The following is a 27,476-nucleotide window of genomic DNA, read 5'->3' on the forward strand; positions in this document are numbered from 1 at the left end:
ATAATGTATAAAGACTAATTTTGAGTTTTTCAAATATAACATCTACTTATTACTTAAGGAAAAACATGATTTGTTGGACCAATTCAAAATGACAGCTATATCATATTTAGATTAGGGATTGAATGTATTTATTACAAGAGTGGATTGAGGCCAGGCACAGTGGCTCATGCCTGTAATCCTAGCGCTTTGGGAGGCGAAAGCAGGAGGATCTATTCAGGCCAGGAGTTTGAGACCAGCCTGAGCATCATAGCAAGACCCCATTTCTATTTAAAGAAAAAAAAAAAGGCGATGTGATGGTGTGCCTGTAGCCCTAGCTACTCAGGAGGCTGAGGCTGGAGGATTGCTTGAGCCCAGGAGTTGGAGGTTGCAGTGAGCTATGATTGTGCCACTGCACTCCAGTTCCAGGTGACAAGGGTGAAACCCTGTCTCTAAAGAAAATAATAATAATAATAAAAGAGTGGATTGATACTATTTGACGTATTAGAACATCAAGAATTGGCAAAAACTATTTCAGGATGTGATATGTGGAATACTTGCATGTCACATCAAGAAAACCAGCTGGTTCATTGTCATACATTTCAAGTCTGGCTTCCACATAATGGGAGAGAAGGTTTCAGGCTGCTTTTTCTAAGTATGTCTCCACTCTTAACACATTGTGGCTGTATATTTCCAATAAAGGCAAAGCTTAATTGGAAAAAATCAGCCCTTTCTTATTTCATTTTAACATTATTTTTAAGAACCCAAGATGCCTTGGCATGCTTTAAAACAATTTTGATCAGATAAATAGAAATTATGGACCTATAATGATCCCGTTGAAGCAAGTTGCGAAACTCTTCCTTGGGTTGTTATACTTGTATTTGTCCTAACTTCCCGTTCCTAACCAACCGCCTATTTCTGTCTCTTGTGGGTAGACAGAAAATAATAAATGACAATATCTAAAAATGATTTAAAGTTTCTTAATGATCAAAAAACACACATCAACTGTTGCATGTAGTTGAGTAGGAAAGCTGTCGGTAAATCTGAGTCACCAGGACCAAGGCAGACACTCTCAGTAACCACTCACTTTTGCTCTAGAGGGAAGCTTTTCAGACCTGTTTAATTTGCTTTTGAATAGCTAACAGGGTTAGGTGGTTTCAAATGCAAAAACCACAAGAGCAAAGTAGAATTGCTGGGTCAAAGTGAATGCTCATTTAGAATTTCTGCAATGGTTGCCAAACTGTTCTCCAGAGGGTTTGTTCCAATTTACATGCTCAGCAGAAAGATCTGAGTGCTGCTTCAACAAATCTTTGCCAACTCAGTGTACTGACAGACATTTGATCTTTGCCAATCTGATAGGTGAACATGGTAAGTCAGTGCTAGTTTAAATATGCAATTCTCTTATTGCAGGTGAGGTTGGGCATCTTTTCAAGTGTATAAAAGTCACCTGAGGCCAGCGCGGTGGCTCACGCCTGTAATCCCAGCACTTTGGGAGGCCGAGGTGGGTGGATCACGAGGTCAGGAGATCGAGACCATCCTGGCTAACACGGTGAAACCCCGTCTCTACTAAAAATACAAAAAATTAGCCGGGCATGGTGGCGGGCGCCTGTAGTCCCAGCTGCTTGGGAGGCTGAGGCAGGAGAATGGCGTGAACCCGGGAGGCGGAGCTTGCAGTGAGCCGAGATCGCACCACTGCACTCCAGCTGGGGCCACAGAGCGAGACTCCGTCTCAAAAAAAAAAAAAAAAGTCACTTGAATTTCTTTTTTCTGTGAATTGTCTGTTCATGTCTCTGGCTCATTTTTTTCTATTGAGGGTTCTAGGTCTTTTCCTTATTGATTTGTAGGAGCTTTTTATATATGAGAGAAATTGACTGTATATTTATGATATTAGTCACAAATACTTTTCTAAGTTTGTTGTTTGTCTTTTGGTTTTGTTGATAATATTTTTTTGCCACGTAGAAATTAAAAAAAATGTGTTTGGAGCTGAATTGATCAAGCTTCTATTTTATGGCTTCCAGGTTTAATGCCATACTTAGAAAGGCCTTCAGGGTGAGAAAAGTAATTATAGTCATGGGCCACATGACAGCATTTAGATCAACAATGGAGCAGATATATGATGGTGGTCCCATAAGATTATAATGGAGCTGAAACGTTCCTATCACCTAGTGATTTCGTAGCTGTCTTAACATTATAGCATGGTGCGTTACTCACAAGTTTGTGGTGATGCTGCTGTAAACAGACCTGCATTGCCAATCATGTGAAAGTATAGCACATGCAGGCCAGGCGCGGTGGCTCACGCATGTAATCCCAGCACTTTGGGAGGCTGAGGCGGGCGGATCACAAGGCCAGGACTTCGAGACCAGCCTGGCCAACATGGTGAAACCCCGTCTCTACTAAAAATACAAAAAAACTGGCTGGGCGTGGTGGTGCACACCTATAATCCCAGCTATTAGGGAGGCTGAGGCAGGAGAATCACTGGAACTTGGGGGAGGTGGAGGTTTCAGTGAGCCAAGATCATGCCATTGCACTCCAGCCCAGGCAACAGTGTGAGACTCCGTCTCAAAAAAAAAAGGAAAGAAAGTATAGCACATGCAACTATTTACAGTGCATCATACTTCATAACGATAATAAATGACTATTATTACTTGTTTATGCATTTATTATCCTATACTTTTTAAACCATTCTTTTCTTTTAAAAATTATTTATTTATTTATGTATTTTAAGAGATGGGGTCTTACTATGTTGTCCAGGCTGGATTTGAATTCCTGAACTCAAGTGATCCTCCCACCTCAGCCTCTTGAGTAGCTAGAACTGCAGGCACAGACCACCATGCCTGGCTTTTTGCTGTTATTTTAGAGTGTGCTTCTTCTCCTTATACCCACACACACACACACACATATATATATATGATATATATGTAAAAGTTAATGTGTAAAACAGCCTCAGGCAGGTCTTTCAAGATGTATTCCTGAAGAAGGTATTGTTACAGTAGATGACAGCTCCGGGCTGTTATTGCCTCTGAAGACCTTCCAGTGGGACAAGAGGTGGAGGTAGAAGAGGATGATATTGATCATCCTGACCGTGTGAGACCTAGGCTAATGTGTATGTTTGTGTCTTTAGTTTTTAACAAATAGTTTAAAAAGTTAAAGGAAAACTTTTATGTATGTATTTATTTATTTATTTTTGAGACAGGGTCTCGCTCTCTCACCCAGGCTGGAGTGCAGTGGTGCGATCTTGGCTCACTGCAACCTCCGCCTCCCGGGTTCAAGAGATTCTCATGTCTCAGCCTCCCGAGTAGCTGGGATTACAGGTGCCCACCACCACGCCCGGCTTACTTTTTTTGTATTTTTAGTAGAGACGGGGTTTCGCCATGCCGGCCAGGCTGGTCTCGAACTGCTGACTTCAAGTGATTCACCTGCCTTGGCCTCCCCAAGTGCTGGGATTACAGGCATGAGCCACCACTTCCAGCTGAAAAATTTTTAAATAGAAAAACAGCTTATGGAATAATAATATAAAGTTAGAAAATATTTTTGTATAGCTGTAATGTGTTTGTTTTAAGCTAAGTATTATTACAAAAGAGTTAAAAAGTTAAAAAAATTAAAAGTTTTTAAAGTAAAAAAGTTACAGTAAGTTAAGGGTAATTTATTGTGAAAGAAAGTTTTTAAAATAAATTTAGTGTAGCCTAAGTGTACAGTGTTTATAAAGTCTACAGTAGTATACAGTAAGTAATGCTCTAGGCCTTCACACTCACTCACCACTTACTCACTTACTCACCCAGAGCAACTTCCAGTCCTGCAAGCTGCATGCATGGTAAGTGCCCTAGACAGGTGTTTCATCTAAAAAAATCTTTTATACTGTATTTTTATTGCACTGTTTCTATGTTTAGATACACCAGTGCTTACCATTGTGTTACAATTGCCTACAGTATTTATTCAGTACAGCAATATGCTGTAAAGGTTTATAGCCTAGAAGCAACAGGCTATGCCATACAGCCGGGGTGTATAGCAGGCTATTCCATCTAGGTTTGTGTAACACTACATGATATGTTCACATAGTGACGAAATGGCCTAAAGATGAATTTCTCAGAACCTATCCCTGTTACATGACTGTATTTAATATATTAAAATTTTAAGAAACTGAAGTGGAAATGGACCCTATCATCTCCTTTAACTTGAAGCTCCTGGATAGGAAGACCTTGGAAGACCCTGGGTTTCCAAAAGACTTTGGTTGGTTTAAACTTATTTTCTTTTGGCCTCTCTGAGCCTGCATTCCTTCCTTCTGGGTATGGAGCAGGATTCTCTCTGGAATGGGGCTTTTATGACCTGTGGTCAAACAAGATAGGTCAGATAATGTCTTTATGACAAGTTTTTACACAGAAAGGTGGAAGGAAAGTGAGAGTAATATTTGTCAGTATTATGACTGGCTTTGGGGAAAAGGGGTTCTGGTTTCTATGACTCGCCTTGGGGAAGAGGGATTCTGGTTTCTACACCCAACCCCGGGTTGCGGGGAGAATGGGACTGAGAGGCAGACGGGCAGAGAAAAACATTTTGAACTAGAGTGGTTCAACCACTGCTTTGAACCAGAGTGCAGACTGAGACCCAGAGAGAGAAGGGCCACCCAGACCACCCACCTTCCCTCTGGGCCATCACTTTCTCTTCTCAAGGCAGCCCCAGGTGGAGTGGAAGCTCAAAACGGGCTACATTTCTGGGTACTGCACCCACTCCCTGACTGCTGCAAAAGACCAGGGAGAGGCTTCTCTTGGCTGCAAGAAGAAGCCAGATTCTCCTGGGAGCAGGGACTGTGCTCTGAGCCTCTGGGGGAAGGAGGTCAGCTAGATGGTGGATGATGGAGGAGCCTTTGAGGCCCCCTCTTCTTACCATTTCTCTAGGTTCAGCCCCTCCTGGAGCTGCTATGTCTCCATCAGAATGCCTGCCCTCAGTGCCCTCCTCCTTCCCATGAGCCCTGTCCTGAGGGCTGCTAACTTCTATTGTCACCTGCACTTTTTTTTTTTGTTTGTTTGAGATGGAGTCTCACTTTGTTGCCAGGCTGAAGCGCAGTGGTGCAATCTCAGCTCACAGCAACTTCCACCTCCCGGGTTCACACCATTCTCCTGCTTCAGCCTCCTGAGTAGTTGGGACCACAGGCACGCGCCACCACGCCTGGCTAATTTTTGTATCTTTAGTAGAGATGGAGTTTCACCATGTTGGCCAGGATGGTCTCGATCTCTCGACCTCGTGATCCACCCACCTTGGCCTCCCAAAGTGCTGGGATTACAGCCATGAGCCACCACGCATGGCCTGTCACCTGCACTTCTAAGAAGCAGTGCTCCTGTCTGCAAAGAGCTGGACTTACAGAGAAACTAAGCACGTTCCAGCTGTAGAGTCTGGCCCTCACCTGCATGGTCCTCCCATGGTCACATGTTTTTGGAAATGTGTGCATTTTGGATTATTTTTCTAAGAGTTATCCCTCAAATTGTTTGAGCTACCAACCCCACAGTCTACCACTGATCTCCAGTTAAGTAACTAAAATGGTGGGATTTCAGGCAAGCTAAAGGAAACGCTTCAGTTGGGAGAGGGGCCTGGCCCACAGTATGTGCTTTGGCAAATGGAAGAATGATTGAGTGGGTGAGTGAATGACTGGCCCCACCTCCGCCAGGTGTTAGGCTGCTACTGAGAACTGATCCTCAGCGCTTGGCAGTGACACTCTTCTTACTGCCATCTCTCTTCTCGGCCCTGCTCGAGGATGTGGCATTGAGGGAGGCAGATACAGCCAGATGGTGCTGGCTCTCTCCTCCAGGCCCAGCTCAGCAGTCACTTCCTTTTGGCCCCAGTTAGAGGTGCAGGTGGCCCCTCGTCATGGGGTGGCGGGTGGGGGGTGGGCAGGGGGTGGGCCAGGGACCCTTCTTTTTATCCCTCTAGACCTGGCCTGCCTGGGACCTGAGGTGGTGGTGGGGTGTCCTTGAGTGAGGAATATCCAACATTCTTAGGATCAGGGTGGTGTGTGTGTGAGGGGGGGGAATGGGATGGTGGATGTTTCTAGAAGGAACATAGAAGGGGACCAGTGCCCACAGCTTACCTATCCTCACCCCTTGCCTCCCCTGCCCTAACCATTAGGGTGGTGTCCTGCCTCTTTCCTTTCCTCTGTCACCCATACCCTGTAAACCCTTCCTAACTAGCAAGTCTTTCATCTTTCCGGATTATCTGCAGAGGATCTGGACGGCACCTTAGTTCCCCGTCTCCTTGGAATGTGTAGAAACTGTTAGCTCTGTGTTTATTCATCCACCCCTATTGTTCTGCCTCCTCTCTGTTCTCTCCAAAGCTCTGTCATTCCTGCTCCCCAACCCATGCTAAGAGCTCCTCCTTGGGGGAGGAATCTATGTAAAGGTTAAGAATGGAGGGGTGGGGTGGGGAGCATCATGCTCAGACAGGGATCTGAGGGTGAGTAGAAACTGGGGGTGCTGTTATAAATAGCCAGAGAAGGTATCTGAAAAGCCTATGGGTTTTTCTCTCCGCCTTCTTCTTTTTTCATTAAAAAAAAAAAATTATTAGGTTACATTTTAACATGCCTCAAAATTCCGAAGGTATAAAAGGCTACAGTAAAATGTATGTCCTCCCAGCCCTGTCCTTTCATCATCCAGTGTAGCTGCCTCTCCTCAAGCCCTCTGACCAGGCCCCCTGCACTGTGTAGGAAACAGGGGAAAGGGATGGATATATGTTTATGGAGACTTAGATTTTCTCTTCTATAAAAACAATGCTGTGGGCCTGGTGCGGTGGCTCATGCCTGTAATCTCAGCGCTTTGGGAGGCCGAGGTGGGTGGATCACCTGAGGTCAGGAGTTTGAGACCAGCCTGGCCAACATGGTGAAACCCCGTCTCTACTACAAATACAAAAATTAGCCGGGCGTGGTGGCAGGTGCCCGTAATCCCAGCTACTCAGGAGGCCGAGGCAGGAGAATCGCTTGAACCCAGGAGGCGGATGTTGCAGTGAGCTGAGATTGTGCCATTGCACTCCAGCCTGGGCAACAGAGTGAGACTTCATCTCCAAAAAACAAAACAAAACAAAACAAAACAAAAAAACAAAGCTGTGCAACCACTTGGGAAACTACTTGCCAATATCTTTAAAGCTGACCAAGTGTATACCCTATGATCCAGCAATTCCTTTCCTAGGTTGCTTTCCAACTGTTGGAGCTCAGAAAACAATACCCCTAAATGTAGGCCTCAGAAGAAGCCTCAGAAGCAAACGTTTTTCCCTGCCCACCCACTTCTCAGTTGCATTCTCCCTGACCAGTGTTGGGTGTAGAAACCAGAATCCCTCTTCCCCAAGGTGAATAATAGAAACCAGAACCCCTTTTCCCCAAAGCCAGCCATAATACCAACAAATATTACTCTCACTTTCCTTCCACCTTTGTGTGTGAAAACTTGTCATAAAGACATTATCTGACCTATCTTGTTTGACCATAGGTCATAGCAGCCCCATTCCAGAGAGAATCCTGCTCCATACACAGAAGGAAGGAATGCAGGCTCAAAGGCCAAGAAGAATCTAGACAGACAGGCCCTGCTGGGTTTCTCCATTCCATCTATGAGCATTAAAGCATACCCTTATTGTCCAACCGTATTTCCACACAGCTGTCCATAAAAACTTTGTTGAACCTAAGTATAAAAATGAATGATGTCCTTTGTATCTTTGGGTCTTCATTCTGAAGGCTGCTGTGTACACCTTAAATAAATGCGTATGCCTTTTCTCCAATTAATCTCCTTTTGTGAGTCCATTTCCATTGAATATTCAGAGGGAGAAAGGCAGGATTTCCCTTGGTTCTAACACAAGAGAAATGTGCATGTCTGCTCACCATAATATTGCTCAAGATGCTCCTAACAGTGCCATGTGTAAGAGTTAAACATTGGAAACAGCCAAAATACCCATCAATGGCAGAATGGATAAGTAAGTTATGGTATACTCTTATAATGGGATATTATACAGCAATGAAAATGAACTGTAACTGCTGTGTGCAACAATGTGAATGTGTCTCACAGACAGCTTGGTGAGTAAAAGGAGTCCAGTTCCAAAAAGGACATTCATGTGGTTCCATGTACATAACATTTAAACACAACAACAACGAATCAATAGTGTTAGGTGTCAGGGTAGCAGTCACTTTGCGGGGTGAGAAGGGGCAGTGGTGGGGGCAGCCAGCACAATGGTCTGTGAAGCCCTGTTGGTTCCTGCTTGGGCTCAGGACCCCAGAGGCCCTGCCTGTCCAGGGCCTATGGGGCCCTAGAGTTGAGGACCCACAGGAAAATGGGGATGGGGCATCCCAAGGCAGAGGGAGGGCATCATGTCTGAGGAACGTGATGAACCCCACGAGGGCTGCAGGGGCTGGACAGTCAGCCCCGCACTTGACCTAAGAAACAGGTGACCAGTGGGGTGGCGAGTAAAGCACAGGATGGATAGAGTCAGCGTCTTCCTGCTGAGTCCAGCAGACACCACCGTGCCTGCTCTGTGCCAGGCACAGATCTAGGTTCTTCAGGGATCTGAGATGAATAAGACTTGGTTACTGCCCTCCTGGAGCTCACAGTCTGGTGGGAGAAAGACGTGGCGGTGGCATATAGATAAATCTTTAGCATGCAACATGATGAAGGCCACTAGGGAGGTATGTGACTGTGTCATAAGAGCCCTGAGAAGGAAGCATTTGACACGAGCTTGGGGGATGACGCTTGAGAGCTGAATCTTGAAGGTCAACCAGGAGGTATGAGATCAGCAAAGGTGCTCTAGGAAGGTGGCACAGCATGTTCAAAGGCTCAGGGGTAGGAATGGACATGGCAGTTTGGGAACTGCATTTTCTCTGGAACATAAAATTTGTGCAAGAAAGTGAAAAAAAGCAAGGCAAGACATTTGAAGAAGACAGGGCCCTGAACCCTGAACACCCACTGAGAAGTTTGGACCAGAACAAATCTTTCTTTCTTTTCCTTTCTCTCTCTCTGTGTCTCTCCATTTCTCTGTCCTTCCCTCTCTTCCTCCCTCCCTCCCTTCCTTCTTCCCTTTCTTCCTTCCTGATTTCCTTTCCCGCCATAAAATCAATGCATACTCAGAGCAATAACTTTATTATTCATTTATGTTTATTATTTGAGCCAGAGTCTTGCTCTGTCACCCAGGCTGGAGTGCAGTGGCATGATCTCGACTCACTACAACCTCTGCCTCCCGGGCTCAAACAATTCTCCTGCCTCAGCTTCCCAAGTAGCTGGAACTACAGGCATGCACCACCACGCTCAGCTAATTTTCTGTATTTTTAGTAGATACGGGTTTTCACCATGTTGGCCAGGCTGGTCTCAAACTTCTGACCTTAGGTGATCCGCCTGCCTTGGCCTCCCAAAAGTGCGGGGATTACAGGCATGAGCCACCATGTCTGGCCTGCAATAACTTTAGAATATACAACCAAGGATGTAAACTGTGAAGACAAGACCTTTGCTAAGTTGCCATCATTTCCCCAGGGCCTGTTTTTGTGCCTGACATTTAATAGATGCTCAAAAACTATTTGTTGAAGACATGGGCACTGTGCTGCACCCTGTGGGTATAACGTGCGCAGCACAGATCGGTGACTGTCCCTCTTGGACTCACTATAATTAACTGGTAACAGTAACCTAGTAAATGCCATGGTAGAGAATTGGGGCAGACACCTAATCTTGGAGTGGGGGTTGGGAATCCAGGGAAGTCTTCCAGAGTGGGCAATGCATATGCTGAACCTGAAGGTCCTAGCAGGAATTAGTTGGGGCAAGAGTGTTCAGGCAGAGGGAAGAGTGCTCAGGCAGGACAGCCTGTGTATGTGTGAGAATATGGGGCTTTGTCTCAAGGACAATGGGGTTTAGGAAAAATAGTGCTGTGATACATTTTGACGCAAAGAGAATGAATCAGAGAGGGAAGGAAGATGGGAGACAGGCAGGCGAGAGAACATTAACACCAAGGGACAGAGAGGGGATCATGGTCCATCCAGGCTAGGGCAGAGGCCATGGGGACAGGTAAAGAACCAGATTTGTGGAGTCTTCCGGTCTTGGAGACTGATGGGCTGAGGGGAGAAGAAGATAAAGGGGACAATAGGATTCCCAGATCCTAGGCATTGGGGAACAGGTGAGTGGGATCATTATGTAAAGAACTATGCAAATGTTACCGCCACTTCTCTTTTTTTTTTTTGAGATGGAGTCTCGCTCTGTCACCCAGGCTGGAGAGCACTGGCATGATCTCTGCTCACTACAATCTCCACCTCTCAGATTCAAGCGATTCTTCTGCCTCAACCTCCTGAGTAACTGGGACTACAGGCGTGAGCCACCACATCTGGTTAATTTTTGTATTTTTAGTAGAGACGGGGTTTCACCATATTGGCCAGGCTGGTCTCGAACTCCTGACCTCGTGATCCGCCTGCCTCGGCCTCCCAAAGTGCTGGGATTACAGGTGTGAGCCACCTCGCCCAGCCCCCCCACCCTTTTTTTTTTTTTTTAATTGAGACAGAGTCTTACTCTGTCACCCAGGCTAGAGTGCAGTGGTGCAATTTTGGCTCACTGCAGCCACCGCCTCCAGGTTCAAGCGATTCTCATGCCTCAGCCTCTCATGTAGCTGGGAATACAGGTGCGTGCCACCAAGCCTGGCTCATGTTTTGTTTTTTTTTAGTAGAGATAGGGTTTCACCATGTTGGTCAGGCTGGTCTCAGACTCCTGGCCTAAAGTGATCTGCCTGCCTTGGCCTCCCAAAGTGCTGGGATTACAGGCATGAGCCACCCTGCTCGGCCAGCTACTTCTTATTCAAATGCACAGTTTGCATGTGGCTCACAGCCAGTGGTGACCGATCAACCAGTGAAAGGGGTGGGCCTGTGCTGGTACCCAGCAGGCTCTCATGCCCCTGCCCTCCCCCGCCAGCCTACTCCTCCCAGTCTGAACCCCACCCTGCCAGCCCTGGTTCTTGGTCTTGGGGCTTTCTTCATTGCCTCCTCCCTTCACTCCCTGGTTCTCAGGGAAGCAGAAAGTTTTCCTTGCTGGCCAGAGCCCAGCCGCCCAGCCCAGGATTGCATGAGCCCTCCTCGCTCATTCTGGCTTCTTACTCATTTGTGCATGGAAATGCCCTGCCAGACTCGGCTTGACCACACTGACCTGCTTTCCCAGTTACAAGCTTCCCTCTTTGGTTCTCTCATCTTTCTTCTGAAGCTGCAGCTTCTTTGAAAATCTCCCCAATCCTTCCAGAGCCCCTTTGCCTCACCATGCACCCACACGAGGACATAACAGAGCCAAAGGTCTGGCCGACACATCCCGACACACCCTCACTCTGACACACAGACACCAAGGCACATTCACAAATAAGCACAGGGAGATGTGTAGATAGGAAGCTCAAGAGCACAGGGCCTGGGTCTGATTCTTTCAGTATTATATCCCTGAAGCCTGTCACTCAGGAGATGCTCAATAAGTATTTGTTGAATGAAAGAATGGGGTAGATGCAGGGATGAGCCATGCAGACCTCCCTGCAAGAAAGGATGATTGCCTGGCGTGAGGTGTGGTGTGCTGACAGTTCTAGCTGTTGGCCCCTTCAGGGACTACAGGGCTGGGACTAGGGTGAGAAGTGTAGCACCTAGGGCACAGAATCTAAGGATGTGGGCCAGGCGCCGTGGCTCATGCCTATAATCCCAGCCCTTTGGGAGGCTGAGGTGGGTGGATCACTTGGGATCAGGAGTTTGAGACCAGCCTGGCCAACATGGTGAAACCCTGTCTCTACTAAAATTACAAAAAATTAGCTGGGCATGGTGGGGGGCGCCTGTAATCTCAGCTACTCGGGAGTCTGAAGCAGGAGAATCACTTGAGCCTGGAAAGTGAAGGTTGCAGCGAGCTGAGATCATGCCATTACACTCCAGCCTGGGTGACAAGAATGAAACTCCATCTCAAAAAAAAAAAAAAGAATCTAAGGATGTGCTCACCTGCAGGAGTGTGCAAGCACCTCCTTACATGCTACGCCCTGGCTGCCTCACTGGCCTTGACTCAGGTGGCTAAGCACAGTAGTGGCTCTAGCACCTGGCCATTACCAACTCAAGGTTCCTCTAATGGGCAGTCTTTGCTCAGGAGTTCCCCACTGGGCTGGTGGATAGGGGTCAGATCTGCTTCACGGTCTCATGGTCTCTGCCCAATCCTGCTCTTGCCTGCTTCCTTTCCTCGGACTCACTCCCCAGCAAACCTTTCCTCATCTCTGCAGGTTCTTCCCAGATAACCTGACCTGTGACATTTCATGGACAGGTACATCCAGATTACAAAGAACCACACACACACAGACACACACACCCCTGTGAGTGCCCGAGGGCAGGGTCTGAGCCGTACCTTTATGTAAAGCTCAGTCCTGAACATATATCAGATGCTCAAGAACTCACCAATGAGTGACTGAATGGGACAGAGATCCCCAAGATAACTGACCACCTGGTGGGAGGCCAGTGACTGGATATGCTGACCTTGCTAGATGTTTCCAAATTGGGGTTCCCAGGGCATCCTTGAAGGCAGTGACAGAGGTGATAGAGCTGTTTGCAAGATTTAAATAGTCTCGTGGGATGTGTGCTTTTAGCTGAGAAAAGGCCACTCAGGTAAACTAAGAGGTGAGATCTTGTGCTTTTTGTGGGAATTATGTCAGGATAGTGCACTACTATGGAGCTATCTTGGGATGAGCAAAAGTTCCATCTGGCACTGACATATTAAAATGTTTTTCACTGGGCATCATGGAGACAGTGGAGAGGAATGGGAAGGTCCCATTCCTTTCCCATGGGAAAGTCCCATGGCTTTGGACTCCCCTGCCAGGTGTCATTAGGCAAATCAGCCTACATCTCTGAGTCTCAGTTTCCCCATCCGTAAAGTGGGATCTAGGAGTGTCCTCTGATGGGGCTGTAAAGACAATAATCTAAAGAACCCAGTATAGTGCCTTGCCCTGAGTGATTGGCAGCTACTGTTATTATCAGTTAGCATCTTTAGTTTGCACATTAAGACATTTTGACCCATGGAGTATAAGTGCCTTCAGGCTAGCTTGGCAGGGATTAGCTGAACTACCCCGAATGGACCAGGTCCAGACAGACGCTGTTAATTTTGAGAATAAGAGAAGGCTCCAACTCTGAGGCCACAGCAGACGGGCATGAAGTTGACGAAGTTCCTCTAGATTAAGGGACAGGTTGGAAGAGTAGGATTTGCAGAGAATCCTCAAGTTCCCAGCTTGGTGGGTGGTGGCAGGGAGGTGGAAGGACTGTCTGCACTTGTGGAATTAGGGTTTGGTCCATGTCCCAGGGATGTTCATGTATATCAGCCTGAAAGGTCAATACATGCAAATGATCTGATACCAGGATCCACCAGGAAGATGCACAGACCAGCCTTTCTATGGGTGCCCAAGGGGCTTTTAAGAAAGAAGACTGGTGGCTCACGCCTGTAATCCCAGAACTTTGGGAGGCCGAGGCAAGTGAGTCACCTGAGGTCAGGAGTTCGAGGCCAGCCTAGCCAACATGGTGAAACCCCATCTATAGTAAAAATACAAAATTAGCTGGGCATGATGGTACATGCCTGTAATCCCAGCTACTTGGGAGGCTGAGGCGGGAGAATCGCTTGAACCTGGGAGGCGGAGGTTGCAGTGAGCCGACATCATGCCATTTCACTCCAGCCTGGGCTACAGGGCGAAACTCCATCTCAAAAAAAAAAAACAAGAAAAAAAAAAAAAAAGAAAAGAAAACTGTTCCCTACACCCCTATGAGTCAGGGAGCTGCATATGAAGACTTTACACAGGCCATCTGGTCTCCTGGGAAATATACAGGTATGTTTCCGGTACGAAGACAGAGAGAAAGTGTGCCAAAGTGTTAACCAATAATTTATTCACTTAGGGAGTGGAATAATGAGCATTTCAAATTTTCTGCTTTACATTTTTGTTTGTTTTGTCTTCTGCAAATTTGCTTCTATGGCTTGATCATGTAGGTTGAGAGAGGGTGGAGTGGGCCAAGTCAACAAAAATGAAGACAGATAAAGAAAAAAAAAGACTGGATTATCCTCTGAGCCCAGTTAACCTGGGGGATGAGGCTCTAGACTCTGCACTTTGGTATAATGAACAAGAATCCTCACTGCCAGCTTATGGTTTCTAGTAAACAAGGAAGAGTCACTGCAAGCCTCCTCTCCAGGTGGGGGCAGGGATGGCCCATGAAGCCTGAATGAAGATCTCCTATTCTTATTTATTTTCCTCTTCCCTTCTGTACAAGGAAGGGAATATGGAGGTGAGACTCCCATTTCCCGCCAGGACAGCTCTCAGTGGAGTTGGAGGCTCAGAGAGAGCCCATAGGATAGGTCTCTCCTGTCTTACCCCAGGCCCAGCTCCTCACTCTGGGGAGGAAGGGTTTGGACACAGGGCCTTCAGATCATATAGTAAAGTTTGTGTTTGGCACCCTCACCTCTCTTTCCTGAGCTCTCTTCCTACTTCCATGCAAACCTCCTTGTCCCCCATTTAATTTAATGTTAAATGGGGGACAAACCTGTCCCCTAGGAAGTTTAATGTTCCTCCTGGCCCCCAGCCTTACATATTCCCAACTTGTCTCTTTCTCATCTCCAACCTCTCTTCCCACTTTTACATTTCCCTCACTGCCCTGTTCTGCGCTCTCTGTCAAGCATGCTGGCCACTAATTCATACTACAGTGTAAAGGGCCACCACTCTATAGTAACATTCATAAACAAGATACTTAGACAAGCAGTTTTGGCAATGGAAGTCAGTTAGAGGCACTATGATATGGTTTGGCTCTGTGTCCCCACCCAAATCTCATCTCGAATTGTAATCCCCATAATCCGCATGTGTCAAGAGTGGGACCTGGTGGGAGGTGATTGGATCATGGAGGCAGTGTCCACCATGCTGTTTTTGTGATAGTGAGTGAGTTCCCACGAGATCTGATAGTTTTATGTGTTTGACAGTTCCTCCTACTCTCTCTCTCTCTCGGCTGCTACCATGTAAGATCGTGCCTGCTTCCCCTACTGCCGTGATTGTAGCTTCCTGAGACCTCCCCAGCCATGCAGAACTGTGAGTTAATTAAACCTCTTTTCTCTATAAATTACCCAATTTCAGGCAGTTCTTTATAGCGGTGTGAAAATGGACTAATACAAGCCAGAACACAGTGCTGGAATCAGAAGGTCTGTCTTGAGTCTTGCATTTGCCTCTAAATCATTGGTTGACCTTGAACAAGTCATACCACCTTTCTGGGCTTCAATTTCCTAACCAGTGGAAATATAGAAGTTGTTTTTAAATTTTTTTTAAAGATTTAAGAGATTCTGTCACAAGATTCTGTCCCCATTATCTCATCTGATTCTCACACGAATCCTGCGGTTACATGGGCAGGAACCCTATTATTCTATTTGTCTTTCAAAATTGGGCTCAGATAAGCCTCTCTCCTGTACACCATTTCTTGACCCTCCCCACAAGTTAATCATTCTATCCTGGGGGTGGCCTCTGAAGCTGGCAATAGCTCTTGTGGTTCTACTCAACCCCCTCAATTTGCATCCAGGGCTGTGACCCCTTATTGTCCATTCGGGTGTCCAGGGCCTGGCACAAATAGGGCCTCGATGGCCATTGTAGGAAATGTTGAAGGACACCAACTCATATTGATGGGGCAGACTGCCATCCAGATCCTGACCTCCACCGTGTTAGCCTGTCTTCCACCGTGTTAGCTAGCCCACCCTGCTGGCCTCGAAACTCAGTAGGTAGGTGTGTCTTGATCATGGTCTCTAATCATAGTATTGAGAAGGAAAGATCAAAGGGTGGAGCCCTGAGCACCCTCAGTAGAGGCTGTTGCCCTCAGGACATCACACAGATGGTTCAAACACAGAAGAACTTCCAAATTACCTGCTCTGCCTGGGGCTGAATGTCATCATCTTATAAGTGCCTGTCCCAGGGCTGGCACCCAGTGGATGCTTCTCTGATGCCAAATGCTAGTTCTCATCTCTATTCTTTCCCTACCAGGTGAATCAGGCAGAGGGGAGATCCTAAGTAGGTTTCTTTTTCTTTTTCTTTTTTCTTTTTTTTTTGACACAGAGTCTCAGTCTGTCACCCAGGCTAGAGTGCAGTGGTGCGATCTCAGCCTCGGCTTACTGCAGTCTTCACCTCCTGAGTTCAAGTGATTCTCCTGCCTCAGCCTCCTGAGTACCTGGGACTATAGGCACGTGCCACCATGTCTGACTACTTTTTGTACTTTTAGTGGAGGTGGTGTTTCACCATGTTGGTCAGGCTAGTCTCAAACTCCTGACCTCAAGTGATCCATCCACCTCGGCCTCCCAAAGTGTTGGGATTACAGGTGTGAGCCACCACACCCGACCTAAGTGGGTTTCAATATGCACTGTTTATGGCTAAGCAGAGGGTCCTGGCACCACCTATTTCCCCAGCACCTGTAGCATTTTGTAACTTATCCAGAGGGCTTGTTTCTCGTGCCCGAAGTTCAGGTGGCCTTCTCCTTGGGAGCACTTTCGAGGGTGGAGGGTGTGGCAGCAGCTGGGTCACTGGCAGTGCGGTGAGGGAAAACAAGGGTCTGGAGCTGGGCAGTTCCGACTCCACCACACGCTGGCTGTGCCAGCTGGGCAGGTCTCTGCCCCTTTCAGGCCCCAATGCCTTTCTCCTGAAAGATGGGGATAATAACAGTAGCTACCTCATTGGGTTCATAAGAGGACTAGGTGATAAAATGTTTGTGAAGTGCCAGGTAGAGTAACCTAGAATCATAATTTTTATGATTATCTCCAAACACCGTTGCCATCAGCAGTAGGAAACACTGCTGCCATTGGCAGTAGGAAAAACTGGGCAGGACCCCTCCTGAGCAGCCCATGCCAGGACCTCAGGCTACAGTGACCCCAGGAGTTGCCTTGGCAGGAGAAGGGTATCCAGGCAGCTGTGCTCTCACCACTGGCTGGGGCTGGAATGTTCCGAGTGCTTGCATAAGAACCAGGATGGGGATCCAGGTAGCTCAGTGTTTGCAAAGCATAGCTTTCCCTGGGCCACAGAAGCTACCAGCCCTCATGGTGATGAAATGTGCCCACTGTGGGTGGAGCAGGTCAGCCACTGCCATGGCTGCCTTGCCCGCCTCGCCCCACTGGAGTAGCACAGAACAGTATGTCTTGCTCTGGGTTTCAGCCTGGCCCAAAGCCCAGGGTCCAGGTACAAGGGTGGAGGGTCAGGCAGAGGGAGTGAGGCAGCAGACCCCGGCATGAGCATTCGCTCTGCTGCTGGCAAGCAGGGTGGCCTTGGCCGGTCCTTCCCCTCAAAAGAGCTTGTTTTCAAGTGATTTCTAAGCCCCCTTTAGCTTGGAGAAGTTTCGTCCTCTCACACTCCTAGGGAAAGGCAGCCAGGTCAGTGTCCCGTAGCATTTCATGGCCCCCAATCTCTGGTTCTGCCAAGAAAACTAAAAGTTTGGGTTCTGGTTTTCCTTCTTCCTTCCTTCATTCAGGTTTTCCTAAGGGCTGAGCACATTCTGTTGCAGGAAGCACCTGTTCTTGAGGCTTCAGGGTCCAAGTGAGAAGAAAAGACAAAAGACCCCACATACCCCAAGTCAGTCAGGTGACAGCAAGTACCCAGAAGGGCTGAGACAGAGGGTGTGAGGACAGCTCTGAGGAGGACATCAGGGGCTGCCAGAGAGCGGGGTGTGGCACGCAGGAGGGAAGAGAGGGCGTTCCAGGTGGGAGCCTGCAAGAGCCCAAACCGGATGTGGTTGAGTCAGGAAGGGCAGGAGTCAGAGGCTTGGACAGCAAATCACTGGCCCTGAGATCACCCCAGGCTTTCACCACTGTGCATTGGCCCCTGCATGGATCTAGGGCCAGCCCTGCTGCAGGGGCTCCCTGGGGACTGGGCGTCCCCTGGCCCAGACCCACCCCATTGCCTCTGTCCGTACAGGAGCTGCCTGTGACCAGCTGAGAGCAGCAACCTCTGGGGACAAGGCTATGTGGCTGCCAAGGCTGTGGCAGTAGCTGACTCTCACTCATCACTCTCCCTTTCAGTTTTCTTTCCGGGTTCACTTCAGGAGCTGTGATTTTCCTACGGCTGAGTCACCCAGGGAAGGGCAATAATAAAGGGTGATTAACAGTGTTTCAGTTCCTAGGATTTCCCATCTCAGTTTATATGAATTTGGAGCAAAGCCACAGAAGTACAGGTGGTGAGGGAGGCAAGGGCCTTTGCAGGGACCTAAGGAGACCACTCCCCTCAGACTAGGGTTCCCTGAGGAGAGGGCTGCGTCTCCCCTCAGACTGGGGCTCCCTGAGGACGGGGCTGCGTCTCCCCTCAGACTAGGGTTCCCTGAGGAGAGGGCTGCGTCTCCCCTCAGACTGGGGCTCCCTGAGGACGGGGCTGCGTCTCCCCTCAGACTAGGGTTCCCTGAGGAGAGGGCTGCGTCTCCCCTCAGACTAGGGTTCCCTGAGGAGAGGGCTGCGTCTCCCCTCAGACTGGGGCTCCCTGAGGACGGGGCTGCGTCTCCCCTCAGACTAGGGCCCTGAGGACGGGGCTGTATCTTCGTTCTATCCCTTCTACTGGGGCTTCCTGAGGAGTGGGTACAGCTCTCTTTCTTCTGTACCAGGTCCACTGTAGCCATGGGCCATTGGGTACCTCTGCAGAGGTCCTATTGGGCCCACGGACTAGAGCAGAGCAGATGGCCTGGGTCCGCCTGGTAGGGTCTCTCCTCACACCAGGAAAAGATGACGACACAGAAAGTCCCTCATTTCTCCCCCGTGCTTGTGCTTGCTCTTCGTTCCTTTCTCCTTCTCTCAGTCAGACCACAAAGGGCTACAGCCCTTTCCTGCATCTCTCACTGCCCCTCCCACTACCTGTCCACTCCCACCCAGCCCTTTGGTCACTGTTCTGACCCAGAGCCACCCTGGTACTCATTGACCAGGGGGCAAAGGTGCCAGAACTGGGCACTGCCAGCAAAACCAGAGCCCAAGTCAACTGTGCAAGGAGGGGCTTCTCTCCTGTCTCCTCTCCACTGCTGGCTGACTAAAGTCCACCTGGACTCTCCTTGGCTGCAATCCCCAATGGGAGCTGCCGGCTAGAGAGAACTGACTTGCGCTGCCATGGCAGGATAGGTGACAGGAACGACCTGCTGGGAGCCTAGACCAGCTCCAGGAGAGGTCACCTTCCACCAGTGAAAGACACTACCAACACTTCCACCACCTCTCAGTGCTGTGGGTGACCGGGAGCTGCTCCTTGAGGTGACACCTGTGTGGCCTGGGGGCCCCTTCCACACACTGCTGTTCGTTCCCAGCAGCAGATCCTGTTGCAGAGCCATCCTCGGGACTGCGGGTGTTAACGAAGCCTGTGATCTTCCTCAGACTTTTCCACCAGAGAGGCACCTGAAGGAGCCACACCACATTCCCCTGAAGGCTTGTGTGTGGGCGTGGGCTTGGCTCAAAACAGCCAACCCAGAGCACCAGTGGGATCGCAAGTCTTCCGTTTATTGAATATCCACACAGGCATCTTACATTCTACTTCATCATACTGTTTAATGTGAAAATAATATTTTCCTCACATTCTTTGAGCCAAATTGCTGCTCTAGGAAGGTGGGGCACATTCATCCTGTGGCTTTCCTGCCCTGGGCACAATGGTGCTAGTGCTGGGTGCCCAGAGCAGGTGGCCCAGGGGCCCAGGTAACTTCAGATTTGGTCCCAATGCAGACGCATCTCCCCACTCAGGTGTGCAAGAAGCGTCTCTATCCTTCCTGGCCTCACCTTTCCTGGTGATTCCTGTGGAAGGCAGATTGGGTCACCTGTTCACCCAGGGGGTGCTCTCTGGCTGCAGGATGCCCTGCAGCTCCTCCTCCCCACTGCCCTCCAGCCTGCTAGGCCTCTACTCCCGCATCATTGGCTGAGAAGTCCCTTTGTCAGAGGCTACTGAGCTCTGCTCCTGGGGAGAGAACAGACGGGAATCCTGCTCACGGATGAAGGCCCTAGTGAAGCTGTGGACAGTTGGGAGTGCATGTCTCATCCCATTCCAGGAGGTCTTGTCCTGCCATGGCCCGCCTTTGCAGGCATGCAGTGGGCTGTGCTGGCTCCTGGCAGTGGCTGTGGCCTCCTGGCCAGAATCTGGGCAAACCCTGAGAAGGAGGTGCTGTGAGCACCTGGGGGAAGCTTCCCTTTCCCTCCTCCATACCCAATACATCAACAAGACCCAATATTTCTGCTTCTCAAATGCTTCTTGAATCCATTTCACTTTATTCAAGGTAGGCTTTATACAAATCTTATCACATTATTTTGCTTAAAACCCTTCCTTCCATGACTTCACACCAGACTCCTCATATAAAGTTTAACTGGTTTGCCAATCTCACCCTCCTCGTCTCTCAGCTCTGTCTCAATGCTGACTTCTTCTTTTTTTCCTTTAGCAGCTTTGCACATGCTGTTCCCTCCCTGCATGGAGCACTAAGCATCTACCCTGACGTCCCTCTGTCCCTCATTGCCCTACCTGTCTCTTCCACATCTGGCCACTTTCTCCTTCCTCCTCCCTTCCCAGCTTCCCAATTCCTCAGGCCAGGGTGGCTCTCAGAGCACTTTTCCACCTGGTTGGTGTTACTTGCTAGATGTTAACTGAGGTCCTTATTTCCTCAGGAGGACCATGACAAAGCAGAAAGCAGAAAAGTCACTGGACTTTGTGTCCTGAATCCTAAGCCCTTAGGGGAACTGAAAGGTTTAAGTCATTAAAAAAAAAAAGGGGAGACATTAGAAAAAAAAAAAGTAAACTGGACCATTCCCCACTCTTGTGGTAGCTTGTATTTTTCAAACGTGGCCATGGCCATAGTTTCTTTTCCACATGCTCTTCCAGAACCTTTCCAATCAAGAGTTGGATATTTCCTCATCCCATTGAAACTGAGTGGGATCTTGAGACGACTAGGTGGACAGAATGTGGCGCAAGCCTAATCTTCCCAGGGTAGGTCATTGCAGCAGTTCAGCTTCTCTCTCTCTTTCTGTCCATACTCACCCTTGAAAACCAGCCGCCGTGTTGTCAGGAAGCCAAGGCCACATGGGGAGGCCACCTGTACATATTCTAAGTTTTCAGCCAACAGCCAGGCATGTGAGTGAATCTTCAGATGATCTTGCTGCAGCCTTCCAGCTTCCCCAGCGGATGCCCAGCAGAACAGAAGTGTCCCCGCTGAGCCCTGCCTGAATTGTGAATTTTTTTGTTACATATCCACAGTAACTGAATCCCACCCTGCTCCCCATCCCTTCCTTGACTTGATAAATACTTTTCCTGGACTAGAAGAAAGGAGGTGATGGCAGAAAAGGAGTAGGCAGCATTGACAACAGATATATTCTCCTTCTACCTCATTTGAGGCAGCACTTGAAATAAAGATGGCATTATTAGAAAATAAAGAACATTATATTATGGCCAGGTGCAGTGGCTCATGCCTACAATCCCAGCACTTTGGGAGGCCGAGGTGGGCAGATCACCTGAGGACTGGAATTCAAGACCAGCCTGGCCAATATGGCGAAATCCTGTCTTTACTGAAAATACAAAAATTAGCTGGGTGTGGTGACCAGCACCTGTAATCCCAGCTACTCAGGTGGCTAAGGCAGGAGAATCACTTAAATCCGGGAGGCGGAGGGTGCAGTGAGCAGAGATCGCGCCATTGCCCTCCAGCCTGGGCGACAGAGTGAGACTCTGTCTCAAAAAAAAAAAAAAAAAAGAATAAAGAACATTATATTTTTCCTTTCACACACAGAACTGGGATTGCCTGTTGATGTGTTTGTGTCCGTGGCCCCATATCTGTATCCTCAATAGGCCCTGCCTGTCATTGTCTTGGTCCCTGTGACAACTCAGCTTAGAATAAGGCCTGTTATAGAGGAGATGCTTGATAAATATATGGCGATTAATGAATGAATCAATGATCAACGATTGAAGAGTGAATGAGTGAAACCCGAAGCCCTGTCATCATGAACTTTTTATAAAGATCTTGGTCATTGATTCAAAGAATACTCTCCTAAGTCAGACCGAGAGACTCTTTTTATAAATAAGGACACTGAAGTCCAGGGAGGGCAGGGATTGGCCCAAGGCCTCATGTCCAGCCAGTGGCAGAGCTGATCTAGAACTTGTCCAGGTGCCCAGCTCATGCTCTGCCCATCCATTCCTCACTGGCCCTGACTGCTGGGCCAGTCGGGCCCTGGAAAGGCTGGACTGGGTGGCAGTTGTTATCGCGTCTTTTTGTTGTTTTTGTTTTTGTTTTTGAGAGAGTCTTGCTCTGTCGCCCAGGCTGGAGTGCAATGGTGCGATCTCAGCTCACTGCAACCTCCATCTCCTGGGTTCAAGTGATTCTCCTGCCTCAGTCTTCCAAGTAGCTAGGATTACAGGTGCCTGCCACCATGCCTGGCTAAGTTTTGTATTTTTAGAAGAAATGGGGTTTTGCCATACTGGCCAGGTTGGTCTTGAACTCCTGGCCTCAAGTGATCCACCCACCTTGGCCCCCACAAAGTGCTGGGATTACATGTGTGAGCCACTGTGCATGGCCAGTTGTTGTGTCTTTGCTGTCATTATCTGCCCAGGAGTCTACTGGCTGGGCTGGTCCTGGCCTCTCAGGGGCAAAGGGACAGAGGCAGACAGGGAGCCCTTGTAGGTTGGGGATGGGACCAGGAGGAGGTGTTGTGAAAGAGGACCTGGCATGCAGGTCATCCATAAATATTGGTTGAGTTGAATTGAAATAAACACCCAAATAGATATATAATGACAAGCTTGCATGGTAAGTGCCATGAGATTTCAGGGAGATGTGAGGACCTACGAAGCGGGTTATGGCCTCTTTCTGGGAAGCCCTGTAAGGAGATGGCCTGGAGCTGAGCTCTACTGGAGAGGAGAGTGGGTGTGTGGGATGGGGTGAGTGGAGGCTCTGCCCATGTTCTAGGCAGTGTCTGAGGAACCAGGAGAGCTGATACCTACTGCAGAGAGGGGAGAGCAGAGTATGGTGGTGACAGAGAAGCCAAGGCAGGCAAGGTAGGTGGAGAAGCCAAGGCAGGCAAGGTGGCCTGGAGGCCATGTTTGGGGTTTTGCACATTGTCCTGGGAGCAATGGGAAATTATTGAGGCATTTTTGGCAGAGGCAGGACAGATCAGTTCTGTCTTTTTAGAAGGCTTCTGTGACAGCTGCGTGGAGAATGGATGGGAGGGGGCTCTTGTGAGATGGAGAAAATGGTAGTGTGAAACTGCGTGGTGGCAGTGAAGCTGGGGAGAAGCGGCCAGAACTTAGAGGTCAAACAATAGGATTTTGCACTGAATTGGCAGTGAGGGGTTGGGAGAAAGAGGTCAAGCATTCATTCATTTACCAGTCACAAAACAGCTCCTGGGTGCCCACCACACGCCAGAGACAGTCAGGAGCTAGCAAAGTCCCATCCTCCTGAAGTTTATCTTCTAGTGGGTTTTGTTTTTTTAAAAATGGGCTTATTGAGATATAATATACATACCACACAGTTTACCCATTTAAATTGTACAAGTCAATGGTTCTTAGTATAATTCATAGATATGCGCCAACTTCAACACAGTCTATTTTAGAACACTTTCTTTTTTCTTGAGACAGGTTCTCCCTCTGTTTCCCAGGCCAGAGGGTAGTGGTAAGATCACGGCTCACTGCAGCCTCAACCTCCTGGGCTCAAGAGATCCTCCTGCCTTAGCCTTCTGAGTACCTAGAAACACAGGTGTGTGCCACCATGCTCCATTAATATTTTTCTATTTTTGTAGAGATGGGGCCTCAACATGTTGCCCATGCTGGTCTTGAAATCCTGGACTCAAGCTCTACTCCTCCATCAGCCTCCCAAAGTGCTGGGATTACAGGCATGAGCAACTACTCCTGGCCACTTTCTTCACCTCAAGAAGAAACCCTGGACCAGGCGTGGTGGCTCACGCCTGTAATCCCAGCACTTTGGGAGGCTGAGGCGGGCGGATCACCTGAGGTCAGGAGTTTGAGACCAGCCTGACCAACATAGAGAAACCCCGTCTCTACTAAAAATACAAAAATACCAGGTGTGGTGGCGCATGCCTGTAATCCCAGCTACTCGGGAGGCTAAGGCAGGAGAATTGCTTGAACCCGGGAGGCGGAGGTTGCGGTGAGTTGAGATCATGCCATTGCACTACAGCCTGAGCTCGAAACTCCATCTCAAAAAAAAAAAAAAAAAAAAAAGAAGAAGAAGAAACCCTGTATCCTTTAGTTATCACTTCCTTTTTTTTTTTTTTTTTTTTAAGACAGGGTCTCACTCTGTCACCCAGGCTGGAGTGCAATGGTGCAATCTCAGCTCACTGCAACCTCTGCCTCCAGATTTCAAGGGTTCAAGCGATTCTCGTGCCTCAGCCTCCCTAGTAGTTGGGATTACAGGCAGGTGCCCGCCACTACACCCGGCTAATTTTTGTAGTTTTAGTAGAAATGGGGTTTCACCATGTTGGCCAGGCTGGTCTTGAACTCCTGACCTTAGGTGATCCACCCACCTTGGCCTCCCAAAGTCCTGGGATTACAGGCATGAGCCACCGTGCCCGGCCTTGTTATCACTTCCTATTCCACCCCTCTTTCCCCACCGCCAGCCCTAAGCAACTACTAATCTACTTTTACCCTCTATAGATTTCCCTGTCTGGGCCTGTTTTGGAGGTAAGATCATGTTTATGACCTGGGGCATTGTGGTAGAAACTCCTGATTTCTCCCACTATTCAATCTTTTACCTTTTCATAACATAATCTCACTATTTAGATGGGCACTTTGTCACCTGCTAAGAGATTACATTTCCCAGTTTCCATTGAAGGGAGATGTGACTGTGCTACCAAGTTCTAACCAATGAAATGTAAGAAACTGTTCCACTGGCTGTTTAATAAAGAAATCTCCTTAAAATGGTGTGGAGTGTGGCGTGTGTTCTTCTCCCCTTTTTCCTTCTTCCTTTCTGACTGAATGCAGACCAGATGGCTGGAGCTCAAGCAGCCATCTTGAACCACGAGATGATGCAGAAGGGGATGATGCTGACTGCTTAGCTCTAGGAACTCAAAGGAGAAATCTGATTCAGAGATAACAATTTGAGAGACACCGAACTGTAGTTAGTCGTTGAAATCTTGGCAGGGTACTTCATGACTTAGGGAGCAAACAGAGAATGAGAAAAGAAGATGGCCTAAGGCTGAGCCTTGAGGAAAATCAAGGTTTACAGAAGAGATGAGCTGGCAATGGAAATTCCAGTTAAGGGCTCCAGCCTCCACCGGCCATATTATAGGGTCTTTAGTGTCTTCCTCTGCAACTCCCTTATCTGTAACTATCAAGATTCTTAGAGATTTACTCAGCCCTGAAGGGCTAAGTCCTGAGTTTCAGCACCAGGGAGAACTAGAGCTATATAACCCAAATATGTCCACAAATCTCAAGGCCACAGGTCACTATTATAAATTGGTACTGCACGTTCCTCTCCCTGAATATCTCAAAGGATTTATGCAAATTGATCCGCCTCTTCCCCTAAGCGCTGAACAATGGATGCTTCGTTGCCCAACATTTGAGTATCTAAATGCTCTCCAGAAGTGACTCTTTGCCGGACAAAGAGGGACAGTTGTCCTCCATTTCAGGAAGGAAGGAAAAAACCAAGACGGGAAAGAAGGAGACAGAAAGGAAGACAGCAAAGAAAAAACGAAATAAGGAAAGAGGGAAAAAATACAGACAGATTATCGTGCTATACCTGAAAAGGTGTGGCCAGGTAGGCAGGAGGAAACCCAGGAGACCCGCAGCCACACAGATGCCAAGCTGCTGAGAGGGGCAAGTAAGGTGAGGTTGGAAAGTGTCTCCCGGACTTTGTAACATGGAGGTCTGCCCTCGCAGAGATGTTTTGGGGTCAGACTCGGCGCTGGAGTGGGTGAGGAGTGTGGCCAGACGAGGAAGCAGGGTTAAAGGCTGTCTTTGGAGGCACTGCCAGGTGGTGTGAACACCCAGAGCTTCCAAGTCAGGCTGGAGGCTGGCTTGAATGCTGGCCCCAACATCACCATCTCACTGAAATGAGTTAACATTTCCGGGCACACGGTAGGTGTTGAGAAAGCAGTAGTTTCATTTTTATCCCTGTTTCCCACTAAGGGTACCCATGGGCAGTTCCATTCTGTGGGTGTTGGTTACTGTAGGCCAAAATGAAATGTCCAGTGGCACTATGTCTTTCTATCTTCCTCTAGCAGGTCAGTCCAGAAATGTCCTTGTGGCTATGGGAGAGAGGGAAAAAGAGAGAGAGAGAGATTGAGAATAAACAAGTCAATTTCACAAATACTTTCAAGCCCAATTGGCTAAAGCAAATCCCATGGCCAAGCCCATACAGCCTGAGTGAGAAGTCACATGACAAAGGGCAGGGATCCTGGGAGGGATGAAGAACTGGGGCTTTCTTTAGTCTACCATGGCAAACTACTGTAGGGGCTAAGGGAAAGTTCCCCTTGGCCTGCTGAAGGTTTGCTGAAAAATCAACTCATAAAAGGGGGATTAATTGGAGAAAAGGCATACAAATTTACTTACCATATATACCCAGGAGCCTTCAGAATGAAGACCCAGTCTCCCAATGGGGTACAGAAGCTTGTGTACCATCTTGAGTTTACAGAGAGAATGGAGGCTTGGATCCTGGCAAAACATGTTTATGGTAGTGGGGAGAAGAGGAATTCTGGTAAGGGGGAATAAGTGGTTGCTAGGGAGAGTTCAATGGTCTTGAAGAACATACAAGGGTCTAGGACAAGGGCCCGAAGAGCAGACAAGGGCTTCTGACAAAAGCCTATCCAGATTTGTTGACAGACTTTGGTCTTCCTTCTTGAGAAATGGGTTCAGTTAATGAAAACTCAGGAAGGGACTGGAGGTAATTGTTTCCTTCTTTGGGAGGTCCAGACTTTAGGCAGACAAAGAACTTCAGAGAATCACATTTACATTCCAACAACAGGAAGAAAGAAGGGCTGAAATGGGATGGATGCCCCTCCCTTTAAGGACAATCCCCAGTGGTTGTACACACAACTGCTGACTACATCCTGTGGTAAATGCTGTGCCCATTCTCACTTCCTTACATAGTCATAGCATTTGATAATAGCATTAACTGGTCATAGAGCGGCTCAACTGATGACTGCATTTTACAGCCTCCTGTACAGCTAGATGTGGTCATGTGACTAAGTTCTAGCCGGTAGAGTGTGAATAGATATGATATTTACAGCTACTACTTGTGACCTAAGAGGGAAGAAGTATGATCTTCCTTTCCACTTCCCCCTGTCTGGGATGTGGGTATGATGGCAGGAGTGGCAGCAGCCATCCTACATGAGATGAAGGTCTTATATTGAGAATGAGAGACCAACAAGATACAAGGGCCATACGCTCTTATGCTACATTAGAAACAAATACATTTCTCCTTTACTTAGGCTGCTACTATTTTGGGTGTCTCTGGTTTTAGTAGCCAAACCAATATCCCGTCTAATACACAACCCATCAGTCTGTACTTATCATAAGGCGACACTGCCTCAAGGGTGCCTGGGAAATGTGATCTTTATTCTGGGAAGCCATGTGCCTGGCTGATG

At 48.2% G+C, this 27,476-nt stretch overlaps 4 annotated features.

The window, feature by feature from the left end:
• Positions 621 to 1,346: an enhancer, noted in NCBI's record as "OCT4-NANOG-H3K27ac-H3K4me1 hESC enhancer chr6:39231061-39231786 (GRCh37/hg19 assembly coordinates)". NCBI's record gives its function as "activates a minimal SCP1, AML or CMV promoter by ChIP-STARR-seq in primed H9 embryonic stem cells {active_cell/tissue: H9 hESC(primed)}" and the evidence as "EXISTENCE:reporter gene assay evidence [ECO:0000049][PMID:30033119]".
• Positions 1,347 to 2,072: an enhancer, noted in NCBI's record as "OCT4-NANOG-H3K27ac-H3K4me1 hESC enhancer chr6:39231787-39232512 (GRCh37/hg19 assembly coordinates)". NCBI's record gives its function as "activates a minimal SCP1, AML or CMV promoter by ChIP-STARR-seq in naive and primed H9 embryonic stem cells {active_cell/tissue: H9 hESC(naive and primed)}" and the evidence as "EXISTENCE:reporter gene assay evidence [ECO:0000049][PMID:30033119]".
• Positions 10,309 to 10,810: an enhancer, noted in NCBI's record as "H3K4me1 hESC enhancer chr6:39240749-39241250 (GRCh37/hg19 assembly coordinates)". NCBI's record gives its function as "activates a minimal SCP1, AML or CMV promoter by ChIP-STARR-seq in naive H9 embryonic stem cells {active_cell/tissue: H9 hESC(naive)}" and the evidence as "EXISTENCE:reporter gene assay evidence [ECO:0000049][PMID:30033119]".
• Positions 10,811 to 11,310: an enhancer, noted in NCBI's record as "H3K4me1 hESC enhancer chr6:39241251-39241750 (GRCh37/hg19 assembly coordinates)". NCBI's record gives its function as "activates a minimal SCP1, AML or CMV promoter by ChIP-STARR-seq in naive H9 embryonic stem cells {active_cell/tissue: H9 hESC(naive)}" and the evidence as "EXISTENCE:reporter gene assay evidence [ECO:0000049][PMID:30033119]".

Source organism: Homo sapiens, chromosome 6 (assembly GCF_000001405.40).
Source record: "Homo sapiens chromosome 6, GRCh38.p14 Primary Assembly".
NCBI classification, from domain to species: Eukaryota; Metazoa; Chordata; class Mammalia; order Primates; family Hominidae; genus Homo; species Homo sapiens.